This window comes from Homo sapiens, chromosome 3 (genome assembly GCF_000001405.40).
Source record: "Homo sapiens chromosome 3, GRCh38.p14 Primary Assembly".
NCBI lineage: Eukaryota > Metazoa > Chordata > Mammalia > Primates > Hominidae > Homo > Homo sapiens.
The window spans coordinates 12,332,903-12,350,829 of record NC_000003.12 but is presented as its reverse complement, the minus strand read 5'-3'; the positions used below and the strand labels follow the sequence as shown (position 1 = coordinate 12,350,829).

Here is a 17,927-nt window from a genome sequence, read left to right as displayed (position 1 = left end):
AGCAACTGCAGCAATGTTACACCAGCTGATGTTTGAACATCAATTGATGTTTAAACGATAAGTGCTATGTCATAATGAAAAAATGGAGTTCTCTATGAGAAGAATAACACACCACCAGAAAAAAATAGACTTACGCTGTTAGGTTGGCGAGGAATTGTGGTCAGTTTTGTAATCAGGAAAAAGCTGGCTTCTTGCTCAAGGCCTTTGCCCTTTTTGGCAAGGAGAAATACTAGCTGTGCCAAATTACCGATGTGGGAGCAGGTCTTGTCACATGAGTGGCCTATTAGAATTGCAGTGACTTTGCGGACTTTCAAAGACGCCCCCACACAGGGCAGTATATTAGAAGGCAATAATTCTCTGAATTATACTTATCGTGATATTCTGAGTAAAATAAATATATATCTGGTTAATCTCCATTGAGTAACTATTCATTCTTCAAGGGGACTAGTAAAAGTGTCCCTGTCAATCATGGTGCAAGAGCCTGATGGGGAAATGCTGGCTGGGTCTGAACATCACGGAATAAAGTGGGGGAGTTGAGCAACTGTGCCATTAAGCCCCAAAACATCTTTATTAAGGCAATCCAAGTTAAAGCAAAACTTGGGTTTGCTAATTTGTCCAAATGACTACAGTGATTACAGTTGTGTAAAATTAGTTTTCTCTATATTCAGTTGAATTCTCAATAAAGGAGCTTCTCCTTTCCTCCCCATGCTTGGAAATTTACTTATACTACAAAGTAATCCAGACACGATGGCACAATACTTAAGGATATGACTGAATTGAACTCAAGTCCTATACCAGTCTCTGTTACTCTTTGGCAACACACAGATGCAGTCCTTCCACCTGTCCTCATGTCCTCAAAGGGTCTCACTTCTGGACTCTTCATCTACTGTTACTTCTATTCTCTTTTTTCTCAGACACTATTCAACTTCTGAGTCTAGTGGGTAGTGAGGCCTTCTAAGCCTCTAATAGTTCCCATACTGTGCTTTAGCTTCTGAAACATAAGATTACATATTTTAACAATTTATTATTCCATAGCATCAGAATCTGATAACACCTACTCCTATAGCACCCACCACATTCTGACATTCCGTCTTCCCCCAGACTATGTTTTACTTGAAAGCGAAAACCTGTCTTACTCATTACATTTCATGCATTTGTTTGTTCAACAAATATTCATTGCCAATATAATATGTGGCAAGCCTAAAGCTAGGTGCTAGGTAGACAATGATGAACAAGACGGATGTGTCAAAAAACAGTCAATTAGCAAAAACTACAATTTTAATAAACACAGGGCCTGCCACATAGCAGCTCAGTAAATGTTGCTTACACTTTTGGCAGCATACACAAACCAAGCAACACGCAAAGCATCCCTACATTACTAACAAAACAGTTATACAATGTGGATTATTTAATCATATTTTATGTTAATGATAGTTGCACTGCAGTGCTGGGTCACTTAAGAAATAACTTGCTTACATGGACATTCAAATGAATGAAAATAAAGATAGATGAGCCAATCTCATTTGTATCTTATTATGTATCTGTTTTGTCTTTAGATACTGAAAAGACTTATTTCCACATTTATTCATCCCATCATTCATCAAATACCTACTAAGCACCAGGTACTGACCTAGGCTTAGGTGGTAAATAATAAGCCAAGGTTTCTATACTTAATGAGTTCACATGTAACTATATCAAAATTATCCAAATATACTTAAAAGAGTGATCTTTTCATTGGCTTAAACTTGAAGGTCAATTGGCATGCAATGATATGAGAAACAATATATTTGTTTAAGTACAGTCATTACTACCAGTAAACAGTATATGATCATCAGAGAATTTATAAGACATGCACGTGACTATCCCTATCTTCAAAGCCTTAAGATTCCCCCAGTGTCCTGCCCTTTATAATACTGATTGGAAGGATATTACAATAAGATACATAAAACAGCATGCTGGTGATTTACATGATAAGATCTTAGAACTTTAGATCTTGCTTAGGGTGCTTTGTACACCAATGGGTTGTCAGCACTTTGCACGTCAATGCAGCAGTCTATTGCTATTCATCCTATGGATGGTCCCCTTGCAGGATAGTCCTTGGTAATGTTACAGAGTGAGGAGGAGTGGTAAAAGACCACTTTCCTTATGCACTATGTACTCCTTCTGTTGAGGGATGTAAGGTTCTGTGCAATGTAGAGGTTGAGAAGAGGGCCATCTCTCCTAGGACTTTGGAGACAGAAGGGTATGGATGTGACTTTGAGTACACCACCACATCCTCAGCAGGAGAAAGAATGGGGATAATGAGGAATGATTCTATAATGAGGAGGATGAAAACTTAACTCTACCCCAGTTCATGATATTTGAAAAAATTGACCGCTTGGTATTAGAGAAAGCTACTCTTCAACATTTAGTCTTCAATATTACTTCACAGAACCTGTCTTTGGCTACAAGAATCTGAATATTACTCAGCCATAAAAACTCTTCACACTTTGGTACTTTTAGGAGAAGGCAATTCAACCAATAAAAGCTGTGAATGATTCAATAACAAAAAGTAAGAAAAGGTCTAAAAATCTATAGTTAATAAAATCATGGTATTGAACCTATATAAAGTTATTTTTAGCATTACTTGGTGTTGGGATGACTTACATAAAATATTCCCATAATATAGAATATTAAATACTTTGGAGCCTGCATTATTCTTGAAAGCTAATGAAAACTTCACTCTTTTTTTGCTATAAATTTGGAATTTATTCTCTAGAATGAATATGAATTTTTAAAATTGCTTAAATAGCTTTTTCTTTTGTGTGAAATAAGCTATGTTAGTATTGGTATAAAATTGTATGTACAGTATTTTTTTCTTTTGCTATAACCTCATTTAAAAATCTGCTTCATTTAATGCTGTAAGTGCTACTAACATTTATGCTAGCTTCTAAAAGGTTAAGCATTTAGATCTCATTGCATCCCTAGAACCTAGCAGAGTCCCTGGTTGGCATTAAAACACACATATTGTTTTTGTTGATGATGAGAGTAATGAAAGAACAGCACATCCATATCACATGTATCATTCAAGAAGGAGTTTAGAGACCTAACGAACTGATAATAGCATCCATTTTCTTCTTGTTTCAATAAGATGTAAATTTCTGGATGATGCTCCCACGGAAGCCAGATAATTGCTAACAACCAGAATGACCAGCCAAGCTCACTTCTCCCCCTACCCAAAAGAATGGCTGCCTTTTCCTAGTGCAATTCAGATTGGCTTGGAACTTTATTTTCAAGTGGTGGTTGCATCAGTTCAGGGTTTCTTCATAGTCCCAGGGGAGAGACAACATGAGAGAAATGCTGGGCCAATGGGACACTCCTTTGAGAAGAACAAATAATCCTGTATCCTGGATGTAAATTTCACCACAACCATCACAACAAGCCGGATAGTCCCATAAAAGCAGACAAAGGAAGGTCAATGTTCAATGTATCTGTGCCCCTTTTGGAAAATTTTTTAAATTAAAAAAATTTTTGACCGGGGTCTTGCTATGTTGCCCAGGCTAGTCTCCAACTCCTGGGCTCAAGTGACCCCCCTGCCTCAGCCTCCAGAGCAGCTAGGATTTCAGTTGCTCGCCACCACACTCAGCTGTGTCTTTTTTTTTTTGAGACAGGGTCTCACTCTGTCCCTCAGGCTGGAGTGCAGTGGCACAATCTAGGCTCATTGCAACCTACCTCCACCTCCCAGATTCAAGAAATTCTCCTGCCTCAGTCTCTCGTGTATCATTTTTTTGAAAGGCAAATCCATTCTTCTTTAACCAAAAACTGTAATTTTGTTCAGATTTTCAAAAGTAATATATTTTATGGACATAATTATATTAAACAATTATATTATTTTGATTTAAAGGAAAATAATGCTGCTAGGTGCAATGGCTCACACCTGCAATCCCAGCACTTTGGGTGGCTAAGGCAAGAGGATCCCTTGAGCCCAGGAGTTGGAGACCAGCCTGGGCAACAGAGTGAGACCCTGCCTCTATAAAAAAATAAAATAATTGGCCAGGCATGGTGGCATGTACCTGTAGTGTCAGCTACTTGAGAGGCTGAGGCAGGAGGGATGCTTGAGCCCAGGAGACCGAGGCTGCAGTGAGCTGTAATCGCATCACTGCACTCTAGCCTGGGTGACAGAGTGAGACCCTGTCTTAAAAAAAAAGAAGCCAATAACTCCAGTAAATGTATCTTTGGTATCAAAAAAAAAAAGGTCTTCTTAACTCAGAAGCAGTAGAAAAGAACACTGACATTGGAGCCAGAAAGCCTAGGTTTTACGTTTTTGTCTTGGCTCAGCCACAAACCTACTGTGTCAACTCTTTGGGTCCACATTTCTCATCTCTAGAATCAGAAAAAGCCCTTTCCACAAAACAGAATAATCCTTAAGGTCTTTTTGAGTTTTAATGTTGAGATACTGAATAATATGACTGTAATTCATTTATTTAAAATTTAATGGAAATTCTCCATATTGCATACTTATTCATGTTCTGATCCTGAGTTACTATTTCCTTTTCATACTTGACTCATACCTAGGTGACAGTATAAAAGGCACTTTCATCTGAAAAAATAGTGTCTGATGATAAATTAAAAGTCTCAAAAGGAAAAAACCAACTGAAAACTTCCTTTTCTGCCCAGCTTCAAAAGTTAACTTCCCTCTAATACCTGAAAAAGAGACTAACCTGTTTAACCACTTTCTAGGGATCAACTAAACACTTTTGAAATTACTGTAACTTTGAACCAAAGACGTCCCACCTAAACTATGTTAACTTGTCGTTGCATGTAATATCTGAAATTCTCTAGTAAGCTGTTTTCTAGCATAGTAAAATACCATGAACTATATTATCAACTGACACATTTTCATGTTGTGGGAAACCTAAACCTCTAAAACATGTATCTTTTTCAGTTTTCAGATTTTATCAATGAATTTTTCAAGATCAGTTATATGGAGATTTATTGGGTAGCACATCCTGTCACTGGTGAAGCACAGTGGGAATTCACAAAGGTTCTACAGCAAGCGTAGAGCCGCGGAGCTGCACTCAGTTTCAGCTGGTGTCACTTACCAGTTCTGTGACTGTACTAAAGGAAATTTACGTACTGTTGAAATCACGGGCTCACGAAACTTAATAGGAGGGAGATTAGCATATTCCAACTCTTAATTTTTGATATAAGGAAAATGGGTTCCAGAGGAATGAAATGATTTGCCCAAAGCATGACCTAGATAAATTAGCAGCAGAGTTTGAGCTAGAAACCAGGTTTCTTGATTCCCAGTCCAAAGCTCCAAACGATGCTCTATCTCATTAAAATGATGCAGTAAGACGTTCAAATCAGTTCTTCAGGTCAATGATCCTTAATGCCAACAGTCATGGTGGAAGTCATCAGCATGAAAGCATTTTTCTATGATGAATCACTTAATGTGGAGGAATTACCTATGAAAATGTCATCATTCACCACAGGGTTTAGATATGGTGCTCTCTACAAAGTAAGTACTCAATTATGACTCGGTAATTAAAATTTGATAATATTTGAACATCAGTTCACGGAGTCATTTTGCTGACGAATGTTCTCTTGCCTCATTCACAGATTCTTCATGAGTCATCCCAGCATTCTGGGGTTCTTCTGGTATGATGTTTTTGTTTCTATTGACAAAGTTCCTTGCTCTTAAGAAAATGATAACATTACTATTTGAAAATTTCTACTTTGAGGTAACAATACTCTAAAAAAAAACACCTTGGATCTGTATAGTGTTTTTATTTCGTTTGAAACTCACAACAATGCTGGGAGGTTATTCAAAGCAAAAGAAGAAAATAATAACAACTATTGAATAGGGTTTCAATGTGGAACCAGATAATAGTTTTTGGCAGTAAAGCTTTGAGTAATTTGTCTTTATTCAAAATGAACAAAGAGTCAAACAGACCTGGGTTTGCATTCAAGCCTTGTCACATCTCTGTTTTCTTATCTTTTCGGAGTTGTGAGAATTAGAGATGATTTAAATAAATCAGCGTCTGGAACAGAGTAGGCTTTCAAAATTATATTATGAATTCTTATAATCAAATATTTAAATCTTACATGACACTTTAATAAAGCAATAAGAGCAGTCATCAAGCAACACTCTTATCGCTCTTATGTTAACAGGAGCTACATAAATACGCTTCAGGAAGAGACGGTATATAGAGTATGGAATCTTCAAAAGCAAGTACAAATTTTTAAAGTTCACTTAGCGGAAGTAGACATATTTTCTTCACACCAACAAATAGATATTTGACTGAAAATAAAATGTAACTGTGAAATCAGTACATAATAAACTTAATTTTGATGGCAATTAAACCACAGGCAACACAGAGTATATTTTATGTTTATTTTCCGGTAAGATTCATCAGTCCATTAATAGTAGATGGTTCAGTCTAAAAGTTTGTCTCTAACAATCTTTATTAGACACATTATAAATTCTTTCCCAATCTAGAACTTTACATTTGAACTTATAGAATATATCTTAAAGCAGCATTAGTAAAAGTAAGAAGACTTGAAAATATAAACTAGCTTTAAGTAAGATTCAGATTCCACATTTATTGAGTGCCTACGCTGTCAGGGGCTGTGCTAAGTCTTTTAAAATAAAAATTTGTCTAGACTTTATAAAAATTCTGTGAGATTGGCTGGGCGTGGTGGCTCACACCTGTAATCCCAGGACTTTGGGAAGCCGAGGTGGGTGGATCACCTGAGGTCAGGAGTTTGAGACCAGCCTGGCCAACATGGCGAAACCCTGTCTCTACCAAAAATACAAAAATGAGCTGGGTGTGATGGCACATGCTTGTATTCCCAGGTACTCAGGAGGCTGAGGCACGATAAGTACTTGAACTTGGGAGGCAGAGGTTGTAGTGAGCCGAGTTTGCCCCACTGCACTCCAGCCTGGGTGATAGAGCAAGATTCTGTCTCAAAAAAAAAAAAAAAAATTCGGTGAGATTGAATGGTAGCCCCATTTCACAAAAAGGAAACAAGCTCAGAAAGAATGAGGGTGATGTTATGATTAGATAATGGGCTGCTAAATACCGAGCAATACAGTTAAGTATCACATAACTAGGGATAGAATAATATAAATAAGACTGAGCATCAATTCTCAAGCCATTTTCCTACTTTTAGTAAAGAGGATAAGACAAGCACAATGCACTCTAATATACGAGTAGGTGGTTTGAGAGAAGTGCAAACAATCATGACCATTACTAGAGTAATTTCTGTTGAGCTATGTATTCTGCCTCTACTGCAGTACTCGCCACTGACTTGAGGCCCTCAACCCTGCGAAGTCATTTATTATCACCATTTTACAGATAAAGAAATTGAGTTTTGAGATCACATAGCTAATAAGAGGCAGAGAAGGGATTTAAACCAGATGCAATGGAGTGCGAAAGATATTCAGAGATGAACAGAGCCCTTCTGACTGTGCATGGAGATGGAAGGAATCCAAAAAGCCTTCAGGAAAGAGAGGAAATCTGAGATGAGCCTGAAAGACAGAGAAGCTTTGGATGGCAGGAACAAGGAAAGGGAACAGAGTGAAGAAAGGCAAGACTCAACCAAGAGAGAAGAGTGAGAATGAACTTGGGGAATGAGAATCCATGGTATTGGGCACCTGTGGGACGTTTTGGGATAGAAATTTCCAAGGGCTACTAGGCAGTGATTTAGATCAACACAGGGGAGCCAAAAACAACAAACGTGTCTTAGACCTACTGTTTCAGGCTGGCAGAGTTCTGTGTGCACATCATTAAATAATACTGTACGTGTGTAGGATAGGATAAAAGAAATCTCTTTAGTAAAGATACTGAATTTCAAATGAAGTACAATACAGTTTACATATGTTAAATCTTTGTATTTGAAAGCTTGGTGGTTTTTAAAGATACTAGAGTGTTTTCTAGTCTTTATATCTTCTTTCCTCCAAGGAAACATTTTCATTTTCCTTGAAGGAAAGAATACACTGCTGCTTTTCTATCTGAAAAGGTAGGGGTTTTTTTGTTTAAAAAAAAAAAACCACCTTTCATTATTATAGAACCAATCCGCGTTCATTGTTAAAAATTAGAAAATACAGACTGGTAAAAACAAAATGATTATACTTCCACTACCAGATATAACCAATGTTGAACTCTTAAAGTTTATGCATCTGGGTCTTTTTCTGGGCATATGTATGATCATATGTATATACAGATACATAAGCACATACACATATACACATACATACAGCATGTGTATTTTTTAATCAAAATGAGATATGGTACTTCCTGGTAGTCCTCTGCTTTTTCAAGTCAATAATCTCCATCTTTTCATTTAATTACATTTTCATTTCAAACAATACCCAGCCCATAGTCACATTTCCCCAGCTGACCCCAAATGTTCTTTATAGTTGGTTTGCTCCAACCCTAATCTAATCCAGTATGATGAAATGCATTTGGCTGTATGTTCCTAAGCTGTTTTAAATCTAGCATGACTACTCCTTCCCCTTAATTTTAAGGCCACTGACTAATTGAAGAGGTCAGGCCAGTTATCAGATAGAATGTCTCAACCTCTGAATTTGTCTGGTTGTTTTCTTGTTGTATCATTTAGCTTGATTCTCCATCCCCTGTGTTTCTTATAAACTGGACACTATATCCAAGGATTTCTGGATTCAAGTTAAACATTTTAGGCTTGAATATACCATAGGGGATGTGTACTTCCTATTCCATCACATCAGAAGGCAAAATATATGACTGACCATCAGCCATGGTAAAATCTACCACTAAGTTAGAATGGTGATATGTCTCATCTCTCCATTGTACAGTTACTTTTTCTCCTTCAATTAGACAGTCATCAGTGCAATGTTACTTTGGTATTACAAGGATGTTCAGTTTCATTAATCATTCACCTAAAGGTGTAACAAACTTTATCATCTTTTCCTGAATCAATACTTGGAGTTTATGAAATGTTTTTCTAATTCCACCACTCTTTCCACATTTATTAGTAGGAAATTTTTTTTCTTTTTTTGAGACAGGGTCTTGCTCTGTTACCCAGGCTGGAGTGCAGCAGCGCGATCATAGCTCACCGCAACCTCTGACTCCCAGGCTCAAGCGATCCTCCTACCTCAGCCTCCTGAGTAGCTGAGACCACAGGCGCGTGCCACAATGCCCAACTAACTTTTGTATGTTTTTGTAGAGATGGGGTTTCACCATGTTGCCAAGGCTGGTGTTGAATTTCTGGGATCAAGTGATCTGTCCACCTTGGCCTCCCAAAGTTCTGGGATTACAGGCATGAGCCACTGTACCCAGACAGCAGGCATTTTTCTATAAGGAAGATCTTTCCTTCAGCAACTAAAGCCATGTAATTACCCTGAAATACAGTTCCTACAAGAAAGGAAGACTGCTTGTTTAATTTGTTCTCTTTTATTAAAAAGGTAAATATCTTCAACACCAAACATTCCTAGGCACATCTCTTTCCTCTGTTCATTGAATGTTCACATCATAAAACACTTACATATCTAAGTTTTTCTTTTTCAGCTATTTTTAGAGAATTTTATTTCAAATTCATCTTTCTCCATTTTCCTTGGCCCTATGGACAGTTAACGGGACACCCATCCCATGGTTCTTCAAATATCTAATCTTTTTTTTTTTTTTGAGACGGAGTCTCGCTCTGTTGCCCAGGCTGGAGTGCAGTGGCGTGATCTCAGCTCACTGCAACCTCCACCTCCCAGGTTCAAGCGATTCTTCTGCCTCAGCCTCCCAAGTAGCTGGGACTACAGGCATGTGCCACCATGCCTGGCTAATTTTTGCATTTTTAGTAGACACTAGGTTTCACCATATTGGCCAGACTGGTCTTGAACTCCTGACCTTGTGATCCGCCCGCCTTGGCCTCCCAAAGTGCTGGGATTATAGGTGTGAGCCACCACGCCCAGCCATCTAATCCTTTTTATTGCATATACAAAACCACTTACCAACCCCTAATAATATAACTTATGCTTTGGTTTTACCCGATGATTTCCACCAACAGATTTTCAGTGTTTAGCAGGTAGTTATTCCTAAATTACAGGGCATAGTTAGAATACAAACTTAACTGGTTCTTCCAAAGTTATGTTGTATGTCTGCATAGCTTTAGGAAAAGAGTCCAAGATTCCTGACAGGTTTGTGGACTAATAAACCACATTCCAACCATCTAGTTTATTCTTTATACTCCTGGAGTGCTTTTCTTCAGATACCTCTAGGAAGTAAGATGTTACATTTTTATTTTTAAAAACACGGCCTCTATTTTAATAAACTTTTTATTTGAAACTTTGGAAACATTTTATTGAAACACAGAGGGAAGGAGGGGATGATGAAAACTTGGACAAGAAGTAACTTTTACCACTCTAAAGTAAGCACCTCTCCCCCGCAATAAAAATAAAAATAAAATTCAGACTTAATTCAGTCCTCCTCCTAATTATATTTTTGTTATCTATTGCACACAGTCAGATGAATAGCTCAAAATGCCTACAGCAACTCTGGGCAAGTTGACAAATATCCTACACATTGAAATGAGAAGACGGAAGGAGGCAGATTGCTTAATTGTTACTTGGGAATTCAGGGAGGTGGACAAGCCAAAATCTGTACAGGGATCCAAAGAGCACAACTCCTTCCTTAGGCAGCAGGAGAAAACAATGGGCCAGGTTCTCATTCTGTGTAATCTCATAGGATGGTTCCATTGTATAGCCCATTGTTTCTTCCATGTACTGCCTGAAGGGGAAGTATATTGTTATCTATGGGAGAGCTTCCATAAGAGAGTTACATAGGATGAGAAGGTAGCCTCTGGGAGATTAATGAGTGATGGGGAGCCAGTCTTGTACGGAACTTTCAGATCAACACTTTGAGAACTGTGTACCTGAAAGACCTATGCAGTAAGGTCAGGAAGCTTGCGTGAGCAAGAATTAGTCAGACAAGCAATATGCCACATATGCCATGCTGAATAAAGGGGCTTTGTTAGAGTATTTGAGGGAGGGGGAATCATTAGGAGGTAGAGATTCACAGATAACAGAAATGTGAGGATGCGACTCTCATGTGTGCAAGAAATCCTGGAGAACATTTAAACTAACACCCTCTTTACAGATGGGGAAACCAAAGCAAAAAGAGGTTAAGTGACTTGCCCAGGCCTTGCCCAAGTACAGTCAGTGACAAAGTCAAAGCTAGAATCCACGATACTGTAGTTACTGGATCCATTCTTTGGTTCCACTAAAAGTATTTTTTCAGCTGTGTCTTCTGACCTTGGAAGGGTCAAGGGCGAAAATATCTGATACCTAAATATTCTTAGGAGATCTAGAAGTCTTCATAAAAAGCTTTTAAAACAGCGTTATTGATGCATATTTTACATAGCATAAAGTTCACCATTTTGAATGTGCAATTCAACGAATTTTAGTAAATTTACCAAGCTTTGCAACCATCACCATAAATCAGTTTTAGAACATTTTCATCACCTAGTAAGATCTGTCATGCTGATTTACAATCAAACGCCAATTACTACCCCCAATCCCAGACAACTGTTAATCTATTATACTTTTCTGCCTCTATAGATTTGCTTCTTTTATTAGACATTTCAGATAAATGGAATCATATGATATATGGTCTCATGTGTTTGGTTTTTTTTCACTTAGCATAATGTTTTGGAGGTTCCGAGGTTGAGTCTGGAGGTTCAGGTTGTGGCATGTGTCAGCAGTTCATGCCTGTTTACTGCTGAACTGCCTAGATTAGGCTGTGTATTGATACAGCACATTTTGTCTATCCATTCAGCTGATGGACATTTAGATTGTTTCCGATTTCTGAGGAAAAGTTTTTAACTCTGTTTTCAATTTTACCTTAATTTTAATGACATAAAATGTATAAGAATTCATATTTTAGATTATATGTATGATTTTATAACTGAATACAGACAAGCAGTTTCAGTGCCACAGTTTCTACCTGTGATTTCACTGGTGCCCAATATCACAACTTTAGTTGTCTAAGGTTAGTGAAAGAAGAACAAAGGTAAACTTTTAATATGTAAATGATTCATCTGAGTTAACTGAAGTTCAAACTAGATCCAGTAATACTGTAGAAAGGAATGTTTCACAGAAGAGTTGAAAAAGAAAAAAGTCTTGGAAAAATTTAATCAGATATGGCATTAAGCAGCAAAAGGTGTTGAATCCCCAAAAGTATATGCTATAGCAGTAATTTCCATATTTGTACCTTTAATGTTAAGGGCTTTACAACTTATTTTAAAATTTATTTTGGTTGTGTAAATATATAAGAGCTATAAACATAGTTTACAACTTGTTTTACACATATTTAAGTTACATTTAATACAAATTATGTGAACACTGAGAATCATAAGAAATTTTTTCCTTGAAGTCTGTGCTGTACTCAAGCAATTTTAAGAGAGAGATATCTATATAGTAATAAAATAACTGAAACAATTTAAATTCTGTCATAATATAAATAAAGACAAAAGAGGAGACATAATTTGTGCAAAAATCACACAGCCAATTAGTGACAGCTAGGTCTAAAACACAGCTCATCAGTGTCATGGTTACAAAACATTTATTACAAGTTGTATGTTGTTAATCTCATTGAGCCTTTCATCATTTTATAAACAAGACTTTTATTAAAATTGAGACACGAAACAGATTCATTTTCTAAGTCATACTTTCCTACCTATGCCTGAATAATGATTGCCTTCCAAACCTTTAGTTTAGGATCTAAGATCTGGTATTCACAGAGTTGGCATGGGGAAGTGAAATGTTTTAGCTAACTTTAAGACTGAAGAGGCAGAAGGATATATTTATTTGTCCTTCCTTATTCATGAAGGATTGGTTCCAGGACGTTGTGGATACAAAAATCCAAGATGCTCAAGTCCCTAATCTAAAATAGCATAGTATTTGAACATAACCTATGCACATTCTCCCATATACTTTAAATCATCTCTAGATTATGTATAATAACTAATACAATGTAATGCTATGTAAATAGTTGTTTATACCGTATTTTACATTTTCTATTTTTAATTATTGTATTGCTATTTTTATTTATTTTTAAAAAATACTTTTGATCCATAGTTGGTTGAATCCATGGATGTGGAACCCATGAATGGGGGCAGGGGTGGGAGCAACTGCAAATGGTAAAAACAGAAGAGCCAGGCTCGACTTTCAGCTCCGCCACTAACTCGGTTTATGAATTCAGGCAAGTCGCAACAGCTCTGCTCTTAAGTCCCCATTTTTCAAGTGGAGATAGGGAAAGGAGAGTAGATTAGATGGCTTCTAAGATTTTCTTTGAGCTCTTCGTTTCATGAATTTTAAGTGTTAAAAGGAATCTTCCATTATAAACTCTTGCTCTATTCAGAATCAGCCTAACCTTTGCATAGGTTAACAATATTATTGCTATACTCTGCCCACACACCCACCTGTCCTCCCACTTTTTTGTTCCCTATTTCCTAACACATAAGTTCTACTCAGAACAATGTACCTACTCACTCCTATGTGCCTATAGTATACAGTAAGTCCTCAAGAAATACTGAATAGATGCATTAGTGTAGAAATGAATGTATATATTCTTATTTTCTGCCATCCACTAAGACTTGTTTCTGGCTTCCTGATCTTTCTTATGCTGTAACACAATGAGATATTTCTATTGGTTGGCACAAATTAAATGCTCTTTGAATGCCAATTCATCCTAGTAACTCATAGAGTCAATACCACATAATTTAGACCTGATCTGTTTCACGTATATTTGTTTTATTTCCCCAAGTATATTATTAAGTCATTTGAAGACATGAAAAGAGTATGCCTTCTAGTTCATTTATAATTCTTAGCGCAGCATTAGGTGTTCAAGACTTGATTGATTGATTGCTAAACTCCAAACAGACAAGCTACTGTATTTTTAAAGGCCTTCAGGAGAGTACCCTATTCAAACTTAAATGTCCACAAGAAGCTCAGCCCCCTTGCTTTACTTTGAGAAGAGGTTGTAAGAAAGATGGTTATCACTCTTTGCATAATGTCTTTATAAAAACCTAAAGGCCTTTGTTCAAATATTCTTCTTCCTTACCTTCTTTTCCCAGCTAAATAATCAGTTGCTCATAACTAGTTCCTGAGACCTGATTCAGTTTTCAGTACTTTAAACAAAATAAAGGCACTTAACTATTATTAAAAAATAATAGCTATCAAATCTGGAGGACTCTAAAGGAGAATCTATCCACAGCAAACCTTCTAGAGTAGATAAAATTAATTTCAGAGTAGATTATTAAGGTAATCAGCAGGGATGTTCAGCTAATCTTTTTCAAAGAAGAACAAAGTTATCAAGAATAATGTAAATGTTTCCATTTTTCTAAAGAACTATTATCTTCCATCTTTTTTTTTCTCTGAAGTGTTTCTAGTAGATGTCAGCATCACTAGTCCTCAAAGAGTATCAAGAGGTGAAAACTCACAACATGGAAAACCTCAGACAGGAAGCTTAACGTTAGTGTTGCATAAAAGATACCACAAACTCCTGACCTGGTTATCCTCCTCCCCACAACTCCCCAAGAGCAACCAGCATTAATCTGATGTATCTTGTGATGTTTAGAATGTGTTCGCAAACCAATTCTCATCTTATTACGGAGAATTCAGATCAGCAGCATTTTGGTTCCAGCACTGTCTCAACTGGAGTATCATTTTCCCTTTGATACATTCTCATAACTCCCACTTCTTACCCTTCCTAATTAATGTCTCTGAGATAAAGAGATTAAATTAAGATGGGCATATACCTCCTTACCCAAACTGGGACACTTTTAAGAGTGAAAGAGGGCACTATCAAAAAATCACACTAGGACAACAGGCATAAACCAGGACTGTCAGGCAAACCAGGACATACCATCACTTTAAGATTAAGCAAGGTAAGGAGATTTAGAAAGGACAGTGGTGTCACGACGTCTTTGGTCCTGGCAACTAGAAACTAGGTCAGTGCTGCCATTCTTGTTTTTTTTTTTTTTCCCCACATTGCCTTCTACTTCTAATGATTAGCTCATTGATGTAGGAATCATATTAATACTTTTATTGGAAATCTGTAATTAGAACGTGGTGGGGTGAATTTTCTTTGCTTTGCTTTTCTTCTTCTTTTTCCACTGAAGGTTCACACAGGGCAGCTGTTTTGTAGAGGGTGAGAATTGCAAAGTTTTTGCCGTAGGCTCTCTTGCATTAAGAATTGTTGCATCTGGCCACTTTTCAAGCAACCAGATGTGAAATAAGTAATGCCCGTTTCAATTACAAATCTCATTTTAATATCTTTCAACATAAACAACAATAGTCAATTTGTGTATTTCAAGGCTTCCAAGAGGTGACAGACATTCACCACACAGGAACCACACTCTAAAAATGCTAGAGAAAATAAGTATCCTATTAAAAATATTTTTAAATGGTCAAAACTGCTTATTTCAATGAAGGCAGTAAAATAAAGCTTGATTTGATGACTACAAGTAACACAGTAACAAAACCTCAAATAATTCAATTTAGTAAATTCTGAACACTTTGGAAGTCTTAACCATAAGCCTTAGCTATTGAAATGATTATATTCTGGAATTACTACCAACTCTGACAAGGTCTGTAAACACCACCTAAGGCAACACATGCTTTGATGGTACCAGTGCTCACATATTATTTGCAGAGTATTCAGAGCTCTAATACAGACTAAAAATCATCTCAATAGTGAATTCCTAACAACGTACCATTTCTACCCATCTGAAACTGCAAGTAAATGCATTAAACTACCTTACAAGAAAATTAACAGTAATTTCTATTACTCCCAATTTTGCAATCTGGATCCATTATGATGGGCCTTGTGACTCATCACAGGAGGCCAGTCTGAAGACAGTTCATGCTACTTAAATCCGTAGTCGTAAGTAAAAGTTAAGTATGGGAATAAACAAAATAAAGAATAAAAAATTAGAAATAAACTTACAGCAAATAAAGATGTTAAAATGTATTGACCTAGATGGTAGGATAACAGAGATAAAAGTATATAATGTGAACAGCTGAAGTACATGTTGGTACATAAAGTGTCTACTGGAACAATGCAGGACAGGGGGGCTTTGACTAAAAAGTATAAAATAATCAGTAATATTTGTATAGTCTTTTAGAGTTCACAGAGCACTTTTGCATATATTATATATTTCATCTTGAGAAGTAGGAATTATTCCCATTTTGTTGAAAACTGAGGAGGTTCACAGAAGCTATGTAACTTGGCCCAAATCATTCAACCAGGGAGTAAACTCTAAACTTAAAAATTTAACCCAAGTCAGCCAGGCACGGTGGCTTCCACACCTGTAATCCCAACACTTTGGGAGGCCGAGGAGGGTGGACCACTTGAGGTCAGGAGTTCGAGACCAGCCTGGACAACATGGCGAAAACCCATCTCTACTAAAAATATAAAAATTGGTTGGGCATGGTGGTGGGCACCTGTAATCCTGGCTACTTGGGAGACTGAGGCACGAGAATTGTTTGAACCCGGGAGGCAGAGGTTGCAGTGAGCCAAAATCGTACCACTGCACTCCAGCCAGGGTCACAGAGCAAGACTCTGTCTCAAAGAAAAAAAAAAAGAAAAAAAGAAAAGAAAATAAAATTTAAGCCAAGTCAACAAACTTTTTTTTAGTAAATCAGGTCAAAAAACTTTGCTATTTAAGAGACACTGTGGGAAATATTATACAAAGAAGTATAAGCCTGCTCTTAAGGAACTTGTAATCTTCTGGGAGAAAGAAGCTGCAAAGAGGTGAAAAGTTAAGTAATGATACATGATTTGAATTAAGAATTGCATCCAATAATAGAAGAACTGTCACAAAGCAGCACCTAGTTAACTGCCAGATAAATGTAAAAAAGCCAAAGTTTCACAGGGACTCAAAAAAACTCGTCAAAATGGGATGGCTGGGGACAATGGCTTCACAGAAGATGGGGGCCTGTATGTGGATCCTAAGAGTACGGCCTTTTGAAAGACAGCAACCATGCAGCTAGGTTATTTCCTATCTGCGTCACTCAACAGAACCTCAGTCACTAATGTCGTATGAACAAAGTCTGTTGTCTGACTAACTGACGAAATGACTGACGACTGAATGAACGAGCACACAGAAAGGAAGTGTGGAGCCTTCTAGACGAGGTAGGGGGCATAAGCATGATGGGGGAGAGTGAATGTGAACCTATTACTGTGCTTTACCATAGCTCAGAACGTGGCTTAGCCAAGGTTCCATAGCGAGATGGCACAGCTGAGGATCACTCGAGCCCGGTAGGTTGAGGTTGCAGTGAGCCACGATGGCACCACTGCACTCCAGCCTGAGCAACAGAGTGAGACTCTGTCTCAAAACGACAACAACAAAAACACAGGAATATAGGTCTCCTGACTCCCAGAGAGATACAGAGATGGAAAGAGAAAGAATGATGGCTATAAAATTAGATATACTCAAGCTGGAAGCCCTACATTACCACATGCCAGTGGTGTAACTTTGGGCAAAGCTATTTAACCTCCTTCTGTTTCCTCAGTTGTAAATGAGGATTGTGGTGATGAATATAAGAAATAATATTAAAGAGAATAATGTAAAGCACTTAGAAGTGCTTGGCATACAGTAAGTTGAAATACTAGCTTCCTTCTCCCTGAACTACATTTAAAAGGGTGTTTTTGTTTGTTTGTTTGTTTGTTTTTACAAGGCCCACTTTGGTATTGCTACCACTAGAAAGATCACCTATGCAGTTGGCTCATGACTTCATTTACTCAAACCTAATTTAGATGTAACTTTTCAGAATTTTTATTTTTAGAGACAGGATCTCACTCTGTTGCCTAGGTTGGAGTGCAGTGGTGTGAACATGGCTCACTGGAGCCTGGACCTCCCGGGCTCAAGCGATCCTCCCTCAGCCTCCCAAGTAGCTGGGACTACAAGTATGC

At 37.4% G+C, this 17,927-nt stretch overlaps 1 protein-coding gene across 13 annotated transcripts in view, besides 1 other annotated feature; it reads right to left on the bottom strand.

Moving 5' to 3' along the window:
* Positions 1-17,927, bottom strand: part of PPARG (peroxisome proliferator activated receptor gamma) — a 146,977-nt gene that overhangs the window by 83,515 nt on the left and 45,535 nt on the right. The window contains exon 3 of one of the 13 annotated variants that reach the window (NM_001374262.3): positions 5,936-6,023. The exons of the other annotated variants lie outside the window; for them this stretch is intronic. The gene's annotated coding sequence lies outside the window, so the exon portion shown is untranslated. The remainder of the gene's footprint in view (positions 1-5,935; positions 6,024-17,927) is intronic. 13 annotated transcript variants of the gene reach the window in all.
* Positions 4,967-6,166: an enhancer, noted in NCBI's record as "P300/CBP strongly-dependent group 1 enhancer chr3:12386163-12387362 (GRCh37/hg19 assembly coordinates)". NCBI's record gives its function as "activates an origin of replication core promoter dependent on BRD2, BRD4, P300/CBP, MED14 and CDK7 cofactors, with strong dependence on P300/CBP, by STARR-seq in HCT116 cells {active_cell/tissue: HCT116}" and the evidence as "EXISTENCE:reporter gene assay evidence [ECO:0000049][PMID:35650434]".